Raw genomic sequence first — 13713 nt, forward strand, 5'->3', positions numbered from 1 at the left:
TGGAATATGTGCCACAGTTATTTTGTGTTCTGGTACATTCCACCCAAGTCTAGCCCCAACACTCAAATTTGAAGCAGAATTCTTAGCCACGGTACTATACCACTGATAACTCCATACTAGAATTTGAGAATCCTGAGTACTCTTTAGTTTCTTCTATCTAGATTTTTTTTTTTTTTTTGAGACGGAGTCTTGCTCTGTTGCCCAGGCTGGAGTGCAGTGGCATGATCTCGGCTCACTGCAACCTCCGCCTCCCGGGTTCAAGCAATTCTCCTGTCTCAGCCTCCCCAGTAGCTGGGACTACAGGCGCCTGCCACCATGCCCAGCTAATTTTTGTATTTTTAGTAGAGACGGGGTTTCACCATGTCGGTCAGGCTGGTCTCAAACTCCTGACCTCAGGTGATCCGCCCACCTCAGCCTCCCAAAGTGCTGGGATTACAGGCATGAGCCACTGCGCCCGGCTCTTCTATCTAGATTTAAGGCTGCTCTTACTTTGAAAAAAATATGCAGATGAGGCCTCCAGCTGTCTCCCAGATGAGGTGGGCAGGAAAGAGCAGAACGTTCTTACTCAAGTCTCAAGGCTCAATTTATCACCTACTCCTCTTTCTATGGAGTTTATAACCCGCACCCCAAGTACATAATTGCCTTCAATTTGGCAGGACTTTAGGATCTAGGAAGAAAGATGGGATGAGAGGAGCAATTAGATAAGTATATTCCTCTGCCTAGTTCTTCAAAATGTAGCCCTGTGCTATCTAATATGGTAGCCACTGGCCACTTGTGTCTATTAAACACTTGAAACTGAATAATTTAATTTTTACTTTAAAAACTGAAGGAGCATATTTTTCTCCTACAAATTACTTCATTTTTAAAAATAGGACTGCATTTCACTTTTACTGTTGAAAAATTAGTATCAGAACAGATTTGTATATAAGCATATTCATCTAAAGTAACAAAAAAAAGAAAAAAAGATTGAGATATGCTGTAAGAGGAAAATACGCAGCAGATTTCAAAGACTTAGAATGTGAACTATCTCACTGATTTTTATATTGATTACATGTTAAAATGGCCTTTTGGACATATTGGGTTACATAAACTTTATTATTAAAAGTAATTTTATCTGTTTTGTTTTGTAAGGTGGCTCTAAAAATACAAAATTACATATGTGGCTTACATTATATTGGACAGTGCTGTTCTAACCTCGCTAAATCCAATCTTATTTTCCAGTCCTTCCTTCAGAAGGGAAATTTCTGAGGGTCAGGAAGGGGAATCTGTACCTCACTCCTTGAACACCAAGGAAGGTATGGCTGCCTGAGTCACTGTGAGGTTGCATTCAGAGGTTCTCAGTAGGGTCCTAGAGTAGTTTCCTGTGTTGCCTATTCATACCTCAATTTCCCATTATCCTAGAAATATTTGACCACAAAAATAATACTAAGTGTAGTAATTATGTGAACTAATCACCACCAAAGAAGGTGATGATTATGTATATTGTTAAATATTGATAGATTAACTGTCTCAGATTTTATTAGATTATGACAACATACATTCATATACACTTATAATCAGTCACTCAAATAGCTTTGTCATACACTTACAACTTTAAAAATTAGAACAGGCCAGGCATGATGGCTCAAGCCCATAATTCCCACACTTTGGGAAGCTGAGGCGAGAGGATGGCTTAAGCTCAGCAGTTTGAGAGCAGCCTGGGCAACATAGTGAGACCTCATCTCTACAAAAATTTAAAAAATAAGCCAGATGTGGTGGCATACACCTGTGGTCCCAACTACAAGGGAAGCTAAGGAAGGAGGATCACTTGAGTCCAGGAGGTCGAGGCTGCAGTGAGCCGTAATCATGCCAACGTACTCCAGTCTGGGTGACAGAGCAAGACCCTGTCTGAAACACACACACACACACACACACACACACACACACACACACACACGAGAAAAAAAGGAAAACAGAAAAGTAAGTAAAATAAAAATTAGACCAATTTATGAAAAGCCTTCAAAGCACATCTACATTTTTTGCTAGAATTGCTTTCAACTTTTCAATAAATACCAATAAATGCTTATTGAATAAGTGAATTTTATAATATATCAAGGAATTTACCAATAAAGAGATATGGGGTTTTGTGGGAGGGGGGGTGCTTTGTAATTTAATACTTGATAATACATTCTGGAAATAGTTGTCCTTGTTTATAAAAAATTTGAGGTGGCATATAACAACAATATAATAAAATTATGTCAATTCAAGCAGAATAGAAAAAATTAGAAAATTAGCCGGAAAAAAGAAGACTACAAATAAATTATGAAGTCAGCATCATTTCTATAATTAACTTTCAAATTTGGTCGAGTTCTGCAGCCAAAGCAAAATGGCATACAGTATCTTCTTATTTGGGAAGAGGATGTCCGTTTGTTACCCAAAAGAAGCATAGCTTTTCCTAGCGCTGAATTTCAAAAGCAATTTTTAATGGGAGTCACTGTCACAAATAACATTTTAATGGCAAGTTTAGTAACATTTTATATGACTGCATATGGTAGTATCATCCAGTTAGTTGTTTATATATGAAATGAATGTGTGTGATGAATAATTGTATGTTTTATTTTTACAGGAATATTGGGAAACCAAAATGAGGCACAATCAGATGTGTTGTGAGACACCACCTACTGTCACTGTTTATGTAAAATCAGGGTCAAATAGATCACATCAGCCTAAAAAGCCCATTACTCTGAAGCGTCCTATTTGTAAAGATAATTGGCAAGCATTTGAAAAAAATACACATAATAACAACAAATCTAAACGCCCCAAAGGACCTTGTCTGGTTATACAGCGTCAGGATATGACTGCTTTCTTTAAATTATTTGGTAGGTTTAAAATATTGTAATAGTGGTAATTATAAAGTACTAAAAACCTAGAATGTAAACATCTAAATGTTTTTATTCTGATCAAAGAGGATATCATTATTTTTGTATTAAATTTCCCATCTCCAACCAAATTTGTTTTTGTTTTACTTAGTCTTTTTTTTTCAATGTTGGGTTTTTGTTTGTTTTGTTTCCTTATGGATTAAAAATTCATACTCATCTAGCTTCTAGACTACTTAAATCCAGATGTCAAATGTAAATTCTGGGCAATTCAACTTCATAGCCCATGGCATGAGTTTTATTTGACCTAAAATAAAATACTACATAAAGACTCAGGTGAGCTAACTGACCCAGTTTGACTGGGCCTAAGGGGTTTCCCAGGACTTTCTCTGCTAAACCCAAGAAAACTAGGAAGCTTGGTCACACTAGAGAAGTTTCAGGATAACAGTTTGGGAACATTGTTAAAAATTAACTATGCTTTATCATGTCCATATAATGAAACTGAGTTTGAATTTGTTTAGGTTATGAGACAGTGCTACTTTGCTGATAATTTCTTAACATTGGCAAAAAGAAACTTCTTTATAGTACTGTACTCCTAACTAGGAAAGAGAGGGAATTTTTTTTTTTTGAGGTAGGGTAATAAGGTAAACAGATTAGAAAAAGGGGTAGGATAGATGAGTTCTGAAAAATATTTGGAGTAATGAATCAAGTCAAGTAGATGCTACAGTCTGGTAGATTGTAGCTTGCTTGTTTCTAGAGGAAGGTCAGGCGCATTAAAGCAAGCTAGTTACGATTTAAAGAAAAGCAAAATGAAAAGATGAAACAGGAAAAAATGTAAGGAATATAAGTAGAAAAAGATATAAAGATGCTTCCCCATCAGATTTAGAATGTTAATAAAAGTTCCCCTTCTTTTCATTAAGAGCAGAACAAAATTATTACCTGCAAACTTTTTTAGTACCCAAAACTCATCATCAGAAACACGGGAAAATACCTGGCTGTACCATTTTAGGTAACTTAAGAAATTATAAATAGAGCCTGGGCGCGGTGGCTCACGCCTGTAATCCCAGCACTTTGAGAGGCCAAGGCAGGCAGATCAGCTGAGGTCAGGAGTTCAAGACCAGCCTGACCAACATGGAGAAACCCTGTCTCTACTAAAAATATAAAATTAGCCGGGTGTGGTGGCACATGCCTGTAATCCCAGCTACTTGGGAGGCTGAGGCAGGAGAATCGCTTCAACCCGGGAGGTGGAGGTTGCGGTGAGCCGAGATCGCACCATTGCACTCCAGCCTGGGCAACAAGAGTGAAACTGTCTCAAAAAAAAAGAAAGAACTATAAATAGAATTAATGGGCCAGGCGCAGTGGCTCATTCCTGTAATCCCAGCACTTTAGGAGGCTGAAGGGGGCGGACCACTTGAGGCCAGGAGTTCGAGACCAGCCTGGCCAACATGGTGAAACCCCATCAGGCGTGGTGGTGCATGCCTGTAATCCCAGCTACTTGGGAGGCGGAGGCAGGAGAATCGCTTGAACCTGGGAGGTGGAGGCTACAGTTGAGCCGAGATCATGCCACTGCACTCCAGCCTGGGTGACAGAGCAAGACTCTGTCTCAAAAAAAAAAAAAAAAAAAAAAAAAAAGGCTGGATATGGTGGCTCATGCCTGTAATCCTAGCACTTTGGGAGGCCAAGGCAAGTGGATCGCTTGAGCTCAAGAGTTCAAGACCAGCCTGGGGCAACGTGGTGAAACCCCCTCTCTACAATACAAAAAAAAAAAAATTTATCTGGGCATGGTGGTGCATACCTGTAGTCCCAGCTATCTGGGGGGCTGAGGTGGGAGGATCTCAAACCCAGGAGGTTGAGGCTACAGTTGAGCCAAGATCACGCCACTGCACTCCAGCCTGGGTGACAAAGTGAGACCCTGTTTAAAAAAAGGAAAAAAAGTTAGCAAGGCAGAAATTCTTATTCTCAGGAAATCAGTAGTTATTCTTGGAACTTTCCGTATGACTACATTGATGATATTTTAGTGTACACAAATGAATATAAAGAAGTTATGCCTTTTTACTTAAAATGAAGAAGAGGAGCCTGGCGTGGTGGCATATGCACCTGTAGTTCCAGGTACTCAGGAGTCTGAAGCCAGAGGATCACTTGAGCCCAGAAGTTCAAGGCCCACCTGGGCAACATAGTGAGGCCCTGTCTCTTTAAAAAAAAAAAAAAAAAAAAAGAGAAAGAGAGAAAGGGGGAATGGAAAAACAGATTTTTCTAGATTACATTCTGACAACTATTAATGTATTTTGAGATTATATATTTTAGCCCTTTAGAATTGAAATATTTTACCTACTTTCTAGATGTTATTATTTTTAACAATGTGTTTGTTTGTTGATCTTTTTATCCTAATAGTTTTTTCAAAATGTTAATTATAAATAATGAATTATGAATCCTTTTTATATAGACATTTTCATATGTATTTGAGTAATAGAAAGTGGAATAGAGATAAATAGGAGAGAAGAATGCAAAACTAAAAATACTGTTGGATATTCAGTAAACCAAACACTTCTACCATTCTCCAATCTGAGCCATATGTTAAGGCAAATCAGATGGCTTGATGAAGGATAAAGCAGTAGTTTTTCGTACAGTCTTTGCAATGGTAAATACACCAAAGAACTGAAAACTCCACCTTAGGCAACACTGGTTCATTCATTTTTGTTTTATTTCTAAGCACCATGTATAATCTCTTGACATAGAAATTAATTCTTCAAAAGGAAACATTCTGTTTTTAAAAGACAAGTTATAGCTATCTTTTGTTGTAGATGACGATTTAATTCAAGATTTCTTGTGGATGGACTGCTGCTGTAAAATTGCAGACAAGGTAAATTTGGTAACAGTATAACAATTAACCAGCATTATAATGTAACTGAACCATTAGAGCTTTAATGAGACCTTATAAGAATTTTCTATCTTATTAGTTATGATTAAGAAAAGAGCTAGTGGCCAGGTGCAGTGGCTCACACCTGTAATCCCAAAACTTTGGGAGGCTGAGGTGGGTGGATCACTTGAAGCCAGGAGTTGGAGACCAGCCTGGGCAACATAGTGAGACCCCCATCTCTAAAAAATTTAAAAATTAGCCAAGTGTGGTGGCATGCACCTGTAGTTCCAGCCACCCAGCTGAGGTGGGAGGATCACTTGAACCCAGAAGTTGGAGGATACAGTGAGCTTTGATCAATTGTGCCACTGCATTCCAGCTTGGACAATAGAGCAAGACTCTGTCTCTAAACAAATTAATTAAATTTAAAAATTAAAAAAATAAGAGCTAGCCTGCACTGCTCCTTCAAAGCAGAAGCTTTACACATGAATTTCTGGAATTAGCATATAGCATAGATTCAGTCTATACTTAAGGAATTGTAGAATATTATTGATTACATTTAAATGACCTTAAATTTGTATTTGATTGAAAACAGAAATCAAAACAGGTGTGGCAGCTCATGCCTGTAATCCCAACACTGTGGAAGGCCAAGGCGAGAGGATCACTTAAGCCCAGGAGTTCCAAGACCAGCCTTGGCAACATAGGGAGACCTGGTCTCTTAAAAAAAAAAAAAAAAAAAAAAAAAAAAAATATATATATATATATATATATATATATATATATATATATATATATATATATATTTTATCCTGAGGCAGGAGGATTGCTTGAGCCAGGGAGATCAAGGCTGCAGTGAGCTGTGGTACCACCACTGCACTCCAGCCTGGGTGACAGAGCCAGACCCTGTCTCAAAAACGAACAAAAACCAAAGAACCACAAACAGAAAATCAGTATAGACTTAATACATTTTGATCAGTTATTACCTTTTATCAGGCTGTGGAGAAAAAATATTCTGAGATTTACTTTACTAAGGTAGTCTGCATTTTAGTATTTTGTAAGTCAGAGAAAACAAATCTCAGTAATTTGTAGGGTAAAATTAGTTTAACATGTTGTTTAGGAATCAGTGTTTCATAAAAGAATGTCTGACTTACACACTGGGAGCAGCGATGTTTCTATATTCTTTAGATTTTGTTGAATGGTTAAAATTTCAGCTTTGTCGCTCATACCTGTGATCCTAGCGCTTGGGATGCTGAGGCGGGCAGATCACCTGAAGTCAGGAGTTCAAGACCAGCCTGGCCAACATGGAGAAACCCTGTCTCTACTAAAAATACAAAAATTAGCCAGGTGTGGTGGTGCGCACCCATAGTCCCAGCTACTCGGGAGGCTGAGACAGGAGAATTGCTTGATCCCAGAAGGCAGAGGTTGCAGTGAGCCGAGACCGAGCCACTGCACTCCAGCCTGGGCGACAGATCGAGACTCTGTCTCAAAAAAATAATAATAATAAAATAAAATTTCAGCTTTGTATTTTTCAATTTTTTTCTTTTAGAAAAATATTTCTCGTGCTAAGAATTTTCAGCTTTGTAAATGCCATTTTGTACCAAGCAGTCATATTTGAAAATTAAGCGTGACTTTACATCACTACTAGCCAACAGTAAAGGGAATGAGTGGAAGGTTAGCTTGTGATTAAATACAAAGTACTGGGGTGAAGATTTTTATTTAAGCTTAAGATGACAGGGATACACTAGAAGAAGGTTTATAAAATTTTTTAAATTTCATTTTGGAAAATTTAAAACATACACAATTTGAAGTAAATAGAATAGAACAAAGAGCCTCCATATGCATCTCATCTAGCTACAATAGATCAACTGTGGCTGTTCTTGTTTCTTCTAATGCCTCTCACCAAAAACGATTATTTTGAAGCTGATCCCAGACATCCTAACATTTTATCCATAAATATTTCACAATATATCACTAAAAGTTAAGAGCTGTTTTAAAACAATTACAATGTCATAGAACTTTTAAAATTAACAGTAATGCTGTAATATCAAATATACAATTCATGTGGAGTTATGATGTGATTTTTTTTTTTTCTTTTTCTTTTTTTTTTTTTTTTTTTTGAGATGGAGTCTCACTCTGTCATCCAGGCTGGAGTGCAGTGGCGTGATCTCAGCTCACTGCAACCTCCGCCTCCCGGGTTCAAGCAATTCTCCTGCCTCAGCCTCCCAAATGTCTGGGATTACAGGCATGTGCCACCACGCCCGGCTAATTTTTCTGTATTTTTAGTAGAGATGGGGGTTTTACCATATTGGCCAGCCTGGTCTTGAACTCCTGACCTTGTGATCCACCCGCCTCGACCTCCCAAAGTGCTGGGATTACAGGTGTGAGCCACTGCGCCCGTCAGGAAGTTTTAAACTTTATGGTTTTAAGGTGCAGTAAAGTTGTTGTGCAGAAGGGGGCAGTGTTGGAAAAGTAACTACCTGGAGTACTGTCTTAACACGATCTCAAGAGTACTTTACTGGAAGTTACTGTGAAAACTTGGTATCACCTTTGTGGCAAATCCTGTTACAATAGGATGAATAAATGTCTTACGAGAGATAATCTGATACATTATTATAACTTGTTTTTAATTTGAACAGACAGAACCTGGCATATGTGCTAATAATCAGGCTAGAGATGTATCTTTCTAATAATACATTTAAAACACATTCTCCCCATGAAAATACAGCCATGTTATTCTAATTTCTGAAGTCATTTGGAAATCATTTTAAAAAGTTATTTTAAAAAGTGAGTATGGATGTCTGTAACTAAAAGGGTTTAGAAAAATTATATATACACATACATACACACAAATAGAGATAGCAAACATGGCAAATTTGGTGCATCTAAGTGAGGATGCATGGCTGTTCATTTTGCTGTTATTTCAGTTTCTGTATAGGTTTGAAATTTAAATTAGATAAAAGTGGGATTTTAGCTCAAACTATTGGCAATAATAAAATTTAGGAGTCCATTCTAGTTTATAATGATATAATAAATAGTCAAGAATTACTTTTCACTGTTCACATGGTGGATTACAGGAATCCAAAAATTAAGTACACAATTCTATAATAAGTAACACTTTATTGTTTTAGCTTATTCATCAGAAAATTTTAAAGTTAACTATTTTAAAGCAGTTTTATTTATGAAAGCAAAACATTAATATTAATTTTTAACTTTTTTCCTTATAGTATCTTTTGGCTATGACCTTTGTTTATTTCAAGAGGGCTAAATTTACTATAAGTGAGCATACCAGGATAAATTTCTTTATTGCTCTGTAAGTATACTTTCTACTAAGTGATTGTTGTGTTATCTATTATATACATTACACCTTATTTAAAACAGAGGCTATTTAAAACCTTATGTATATCTTTGAATAGGCCTTCCTGTATAAATGCTGTATGTTTTTTACTTTAATAGGATATTTTTATGTTTTTTTCACTTATCATGCTATATGCCTAAGATTTCCTTTTTTATTTATTTATTTATTTTTGAGAAGGAATCTCGCTGTGTTGCCAGGCTGGAGTGCAGTGGCACAATCCTGACTCACTGCAACCTCTGACTCCCTGGTTCAAGTGATTATCCTGCCTCAGCCTCCCAAGTAGCTGAGATTACAGCCACGTGCCACCACGCTCAGCTAATTTTTGTATTTTTAGTAGAGACGGGGTTTCACCATGTTGGCCAGGATGGTCTTGATCTCCTGACCTCGTGATCTGCCCGCCTCGGCCTTCCAAGGTGCTGGGATTACAGGTGTGAGCCACTGCGCCTGGCCAAGATTTCTTGGAGTATTCCTCTTCAATTTGTATTGCATGTTTTACATTTTTCAGAATGCTTCCATATAAATTATCCCAAATTCTCCTCTTTGTGACTTAGATATTTTTTAAAACCAGAATATTCTCTGAAATTTTCAATTAATATATAGTAAAAATCACCATCATCATTGCCCTTTTACATTGAACAACTTGTGGAAAATGCTCTAAACATAGTCTTTGTGGACCTATATCTATAACATAGTCATTATTCGTATTTGATACCATTGGTATTCACTGGCTCTTTTACTAAACACACTGAGCTGTGACAAAGGAATACAGTTGTTTTCCAGTTCTTCCACTGACTTTAGTTTATATTCATTGTGATCTGTGAAATGGTTTTCCAATCTATAGGTCAGAATACATTTGGAATTTGCATTATTTAAGAATATGTTTCTGGCCAGGCACGGTGGCTCACGCCTGTAATCCCAACACTTTGGGAGGCCGAGGCGGGTGGATCATCTGAGGTCAGGAGTTCGATACCAGCCTGGCCAACATGGTTGAAAGCCTGTCTCTACTAAAAATACACAAGTTAGCTGGGCGTGGTGGTGGGCACCTATAATCCCAGCTACTCGGTAGGCTGAGGCAGGAGAATCGCTTGAACCCGGGAGGTGGAGGTTGCAGTGAGCCGAAATCACACCACTGCACTCCAGCCTGGGAGACAGAGCAAGACTCCGTCTCAGGAAAGAAAAAAAAAAAAAGAGTATATTTCCTTTTCTACCCTATAGCTGGATATAATGCTGTAGTTGGGAATGCATGAATATATATATATATATATATATATATATATATATATATATATAAAATTTTTTTTTTTTTTTGAGATGGAGTCTCACTCTGTCACCCAGGCTGGAGTGCAGTGGCGTGATCTTGGCTCACTGCAACCTCTGCCTCCCGGGTTCAAGCAATTCTCCTGCCTCAGCTTCCCAAGTAGCTGGGATTACAGGCTCCCACCACCACGCCCAACTAATTTTTTGTGTTTTTAGTAGAGATGAGGTTTTACCACGTTGGCCAGGCTGGTCTCGAACTCCTGACCTCAAGTGATCCGCCTGCCTCAGCCTCCCAAAGTGCTAGGATTACAGGCGTGAGCCACCGCGCCCAGCCATATGAATATAATTTTAAGTGTTTACCTAGAGAACACATATAAAAAATATTTAAGTTGAATACCACAATAGCTGTCAGCACTGAAGGTAAAGTTTTTACTCAAAGTGTATTTAATTCAGAATCAAAGAGTTATTAAAGAAATAGGACTAGGCTGGGTACAGTGGCTTACGCCTGTAATCCCAGCACTTTGGGAGGCTGGGGCGGAAGGATTGCTTCAGGCTGGAAGTCCAAGACCAGCCTGGACAACATAGTAAGTCTCTACACAAATAAAAATAAAAAAATTAGCCAGGCATGGTGGCATGTGCCTGTAGTGCCAGCTACTTGGGAGGCTGAGATGAAGAGGATCACTTGAGCCCAGGAGTTCAAGGCTGCAGTGAGCTATGATCACCACTATACTCCAGCCTGGGCAACAGAGCAAGATGCTGTCAGGAGAAAAAAAAAAAAACAAAAAAAAAAAACAGGACTAGAAGAAACTGATTTCTTTTTTCTTTTTCTTTTCTTTCTTTCTTTTTTTTTTTGTGACAGAGTCTCTCTCTGTTGCCCAGGCTGGAGTGCAGTGGCATTATCTCAGCTTGCTGCAACCTCCACCTCCCAGGTTCAAGCAATTCTCCTGCCTCAGCCTCCTGAATAGCTGGAACTACAGGCGCATGCCACCACGCCCGGCTAATTTTTTTTTGTATTTTTAGTAGAGATGGGGTTTCACTGTGTTAGCCAGGATGGTCTTGATCTCCTGACCTCATGATACACCTGCTTCGGCCTCCCAAAGTGCTAGGATTACAGGCGTGAGCCACCGCGCCCAGCCAAAGAAACTGATTTCTACTTGTATTCAGGAGATATATTTTCCAGTGCACAGGGAAAAATGAACTCAAAATTTAGGATGATTGCTAAATATAATAGTATTAGGTAATACTGAGTACTATGTGCAAGGCACCACAAAAAATTTTAATGTAGTATTAACTCATTTAATTTTCCCTATGAAATAAATTTTTTATTATCCCCATTTTACAGATGAGGAAACTGAGAGGAAGATTAAGTACTTTCTAAGAACAAACAAGTTAGTAAGCAGCAAAGCAGGGGCACAAACTCAGGAGTGGTTATCAATGACCAAATTCAGCCATCAACCACTAAGTTAAATTGCTGTTTATATATCTCAGTATTGTATTGTATCTATGTTGATGCAATATTTATTTTGTGTTTTTTTTTTACCTGAGAATTAAAAACAAACCAAAAGAAGCTTTAGTTTAAATCTTACTAGATGCCTGAAATTGAATTCGTTTAACTTGTTTTATAAAGTTATTACCAGTAGAGCACTATTGAGTTTATGCAATACAATTATCTGTAAGGTTGTACTGCATGTTGTATTATGTAAGCTCCATATTAAAAATAACATGAATTATAATTTCCATTTTAAGACTAATCATACTTTTTGTATGGCCTCAATAGTTCTCCTCGTTAAATATTTTCTCAGCCATAGTTCTAAAGCTCAAGTTCTTTTCCTTTCTATACAGTCTTATAATGTTTCCTTTCTATGTATTCTTATAAGACTCTGAACTTCTATTATCATTCTTCCACATTACCTTTCACAATTATTTGTTTCATGCTTACTTGCCTTCTTTACTTAATTGTAGGCTCCTTATGGGCAAGGAACATATAACATTTTATTTCATCTTTCAATTACTAACATATAGGAGGTTCTTAATTTTTTTTTTGAGACAGGGTCTCACTCTGTCACCCAGGCTGGAGTGCAGCAGCATGATCTTGGCTCACTGCAACCTCTACCTCTAGGGTTAAAGTGATCTTCTTGCCTCAGCCTCCTGAGTAGCTGGGACCACAGGCACATAGCACGACACCCGGCTAATTTTTTATTTTTTATTTTTTTTTAAAGATGGAGTTTTGCCATGTTGCCCAGACTGGTCTCAAACTCCTGACTTCAAGCCATCCTTCCCAAAGTGCTGGAATTACAGGCATGAGCTGCACACCTGGCCTTCTGGCTGCTTTTAAGACCTCTTTTTCTTTGGTGTTTGGCACTGGTTTCTTTTTAATAACTTACTTGGGATTTGGTAACCTTTCTGAAGATTAAGGATTGATGTTTTTCGTTTTTGTTTTTTGAGATGGAGTCTTGCTCTGTCACCCAGGCTGGAGTGCATTGGCACCATCTTGGCTCACTGCAACCTCTGCCACCCAGGTTTAAGCAATCCTTCCACCTCAATCTCCCAAGTAGCTGGGACTACAGGCACAGACCACCATGCCTGGTTAACTTTTGTATTTTTAGTAGAGACAGGGTTTCACCATATTGGCCAAGCTGGCCTCAAACTCCTGACCTCAGGTAATCCACCCGCCTAAGCCTCCCAAAGTACTGGGATTACAGACGTGAGCCACTGAGCCTGGCCTGAAGATTGATGCCTTTCAACAGACAACTCAGAAAATTCTATCCACTGTCTCTTCAAATATTTCTCTTCCTCTGCTATCTCCTTTTTCTCCTTTTGAAACCAATTAAACTTGTTATGCCTCGCTCGGTCTTCCCCATCACTTATCTTTGAAATTTTCTTTTTCTTTCTTTCTCTCTTTTTTTTTTTTTTTTTTTTTTTTTGAGACAGTCTAACTGTTGCCCAGGCTGGAGTGCAGTGGTGTGATCTCAGCTCACTGCGATCTCCACCTCCCTGGATCAAGGGATCCTCCCACCTCAATCTCCCGAATAGCTGGGACCACAGGCATTCACCACAACACCCAGCTAATTTTTGTATTTTTTTGTAGAGATGGGGTTTCTCCATGTTGCCCAGGCTGGGTTTCGAACTCCTCAGCTCAAGCACTCCACCTGCCTCAGCCTTCTAAAGTGTTGGGATTACAGGTGTGAGCCACTGGACCCATCCCCATCTTTGCTATTTTCTTTTTTCTTTTCTTTCTTTTTTTTTTTTTTTTTTTTAAGAAGGAGTCTCGCTCTGTCGCCCAAGCTGGAGTGCTCGGCTCACTGCAAGCTCCGCCTCCGGGTTCACGCCATTCTCCTGCCTCAGCCTCCCGAGTAGCTGGGACTACTGGCGCCCGCCACCACGCCTGGCTA

The 13713-nt window shown here is 38.6% G+C and overlaps 1 protein-coding gene across 3 annotated transcripts in view; it reads left to right on the plus strand.

Annotated features, from left to right (window-relative positions):
• Positions 1 to 13713, plus strand: part of SPDYA (speedy/RINGO cell cycle regulator family member A) — a 39777-nt gene that overhangs the window by 2558 nt on the left and 23506 nt on the right. For 2 of the 3 annotated variants that reach the window (NM_001142634.2, NM_001008779.1), the window contains 3 exons: positions 2606 to 2858; positions 5657 to 5715; positions 8934 to 9019. In NM_001142634.2, the coding sequence (NP_001136106.1) occupies positions 2624 to 2858; positions 5657 to 5715; positions 8934 to 9019 (380 nt within the window). In that variant the 5' untranslated portion in view covers positions 2606 to 2623. Of the gene's footprint in view, positions 1 to 1221; positions 1296 to 2605; positions 2859 to 5656; positions 5716 to 8933; positions 9020 to 13713 lie in introns of those variants that run through there. The other variant, NM_182756.4, reaches the window with a different exon arrangement.

Source organism: Homo sapiens, chromosome 2, assembly GCF_000001405.40.
Source record: "Homo sapiens chromosome 2, GRCh38.p14 Primary Assembly".
In the NCBI taxonomy this organism is placed as follows: domain Eukaryota; kingdom Metazoa; phylum Chordata; class Mammalia; order Primates; family Hominidae; genus Homo; species Homo sapiens.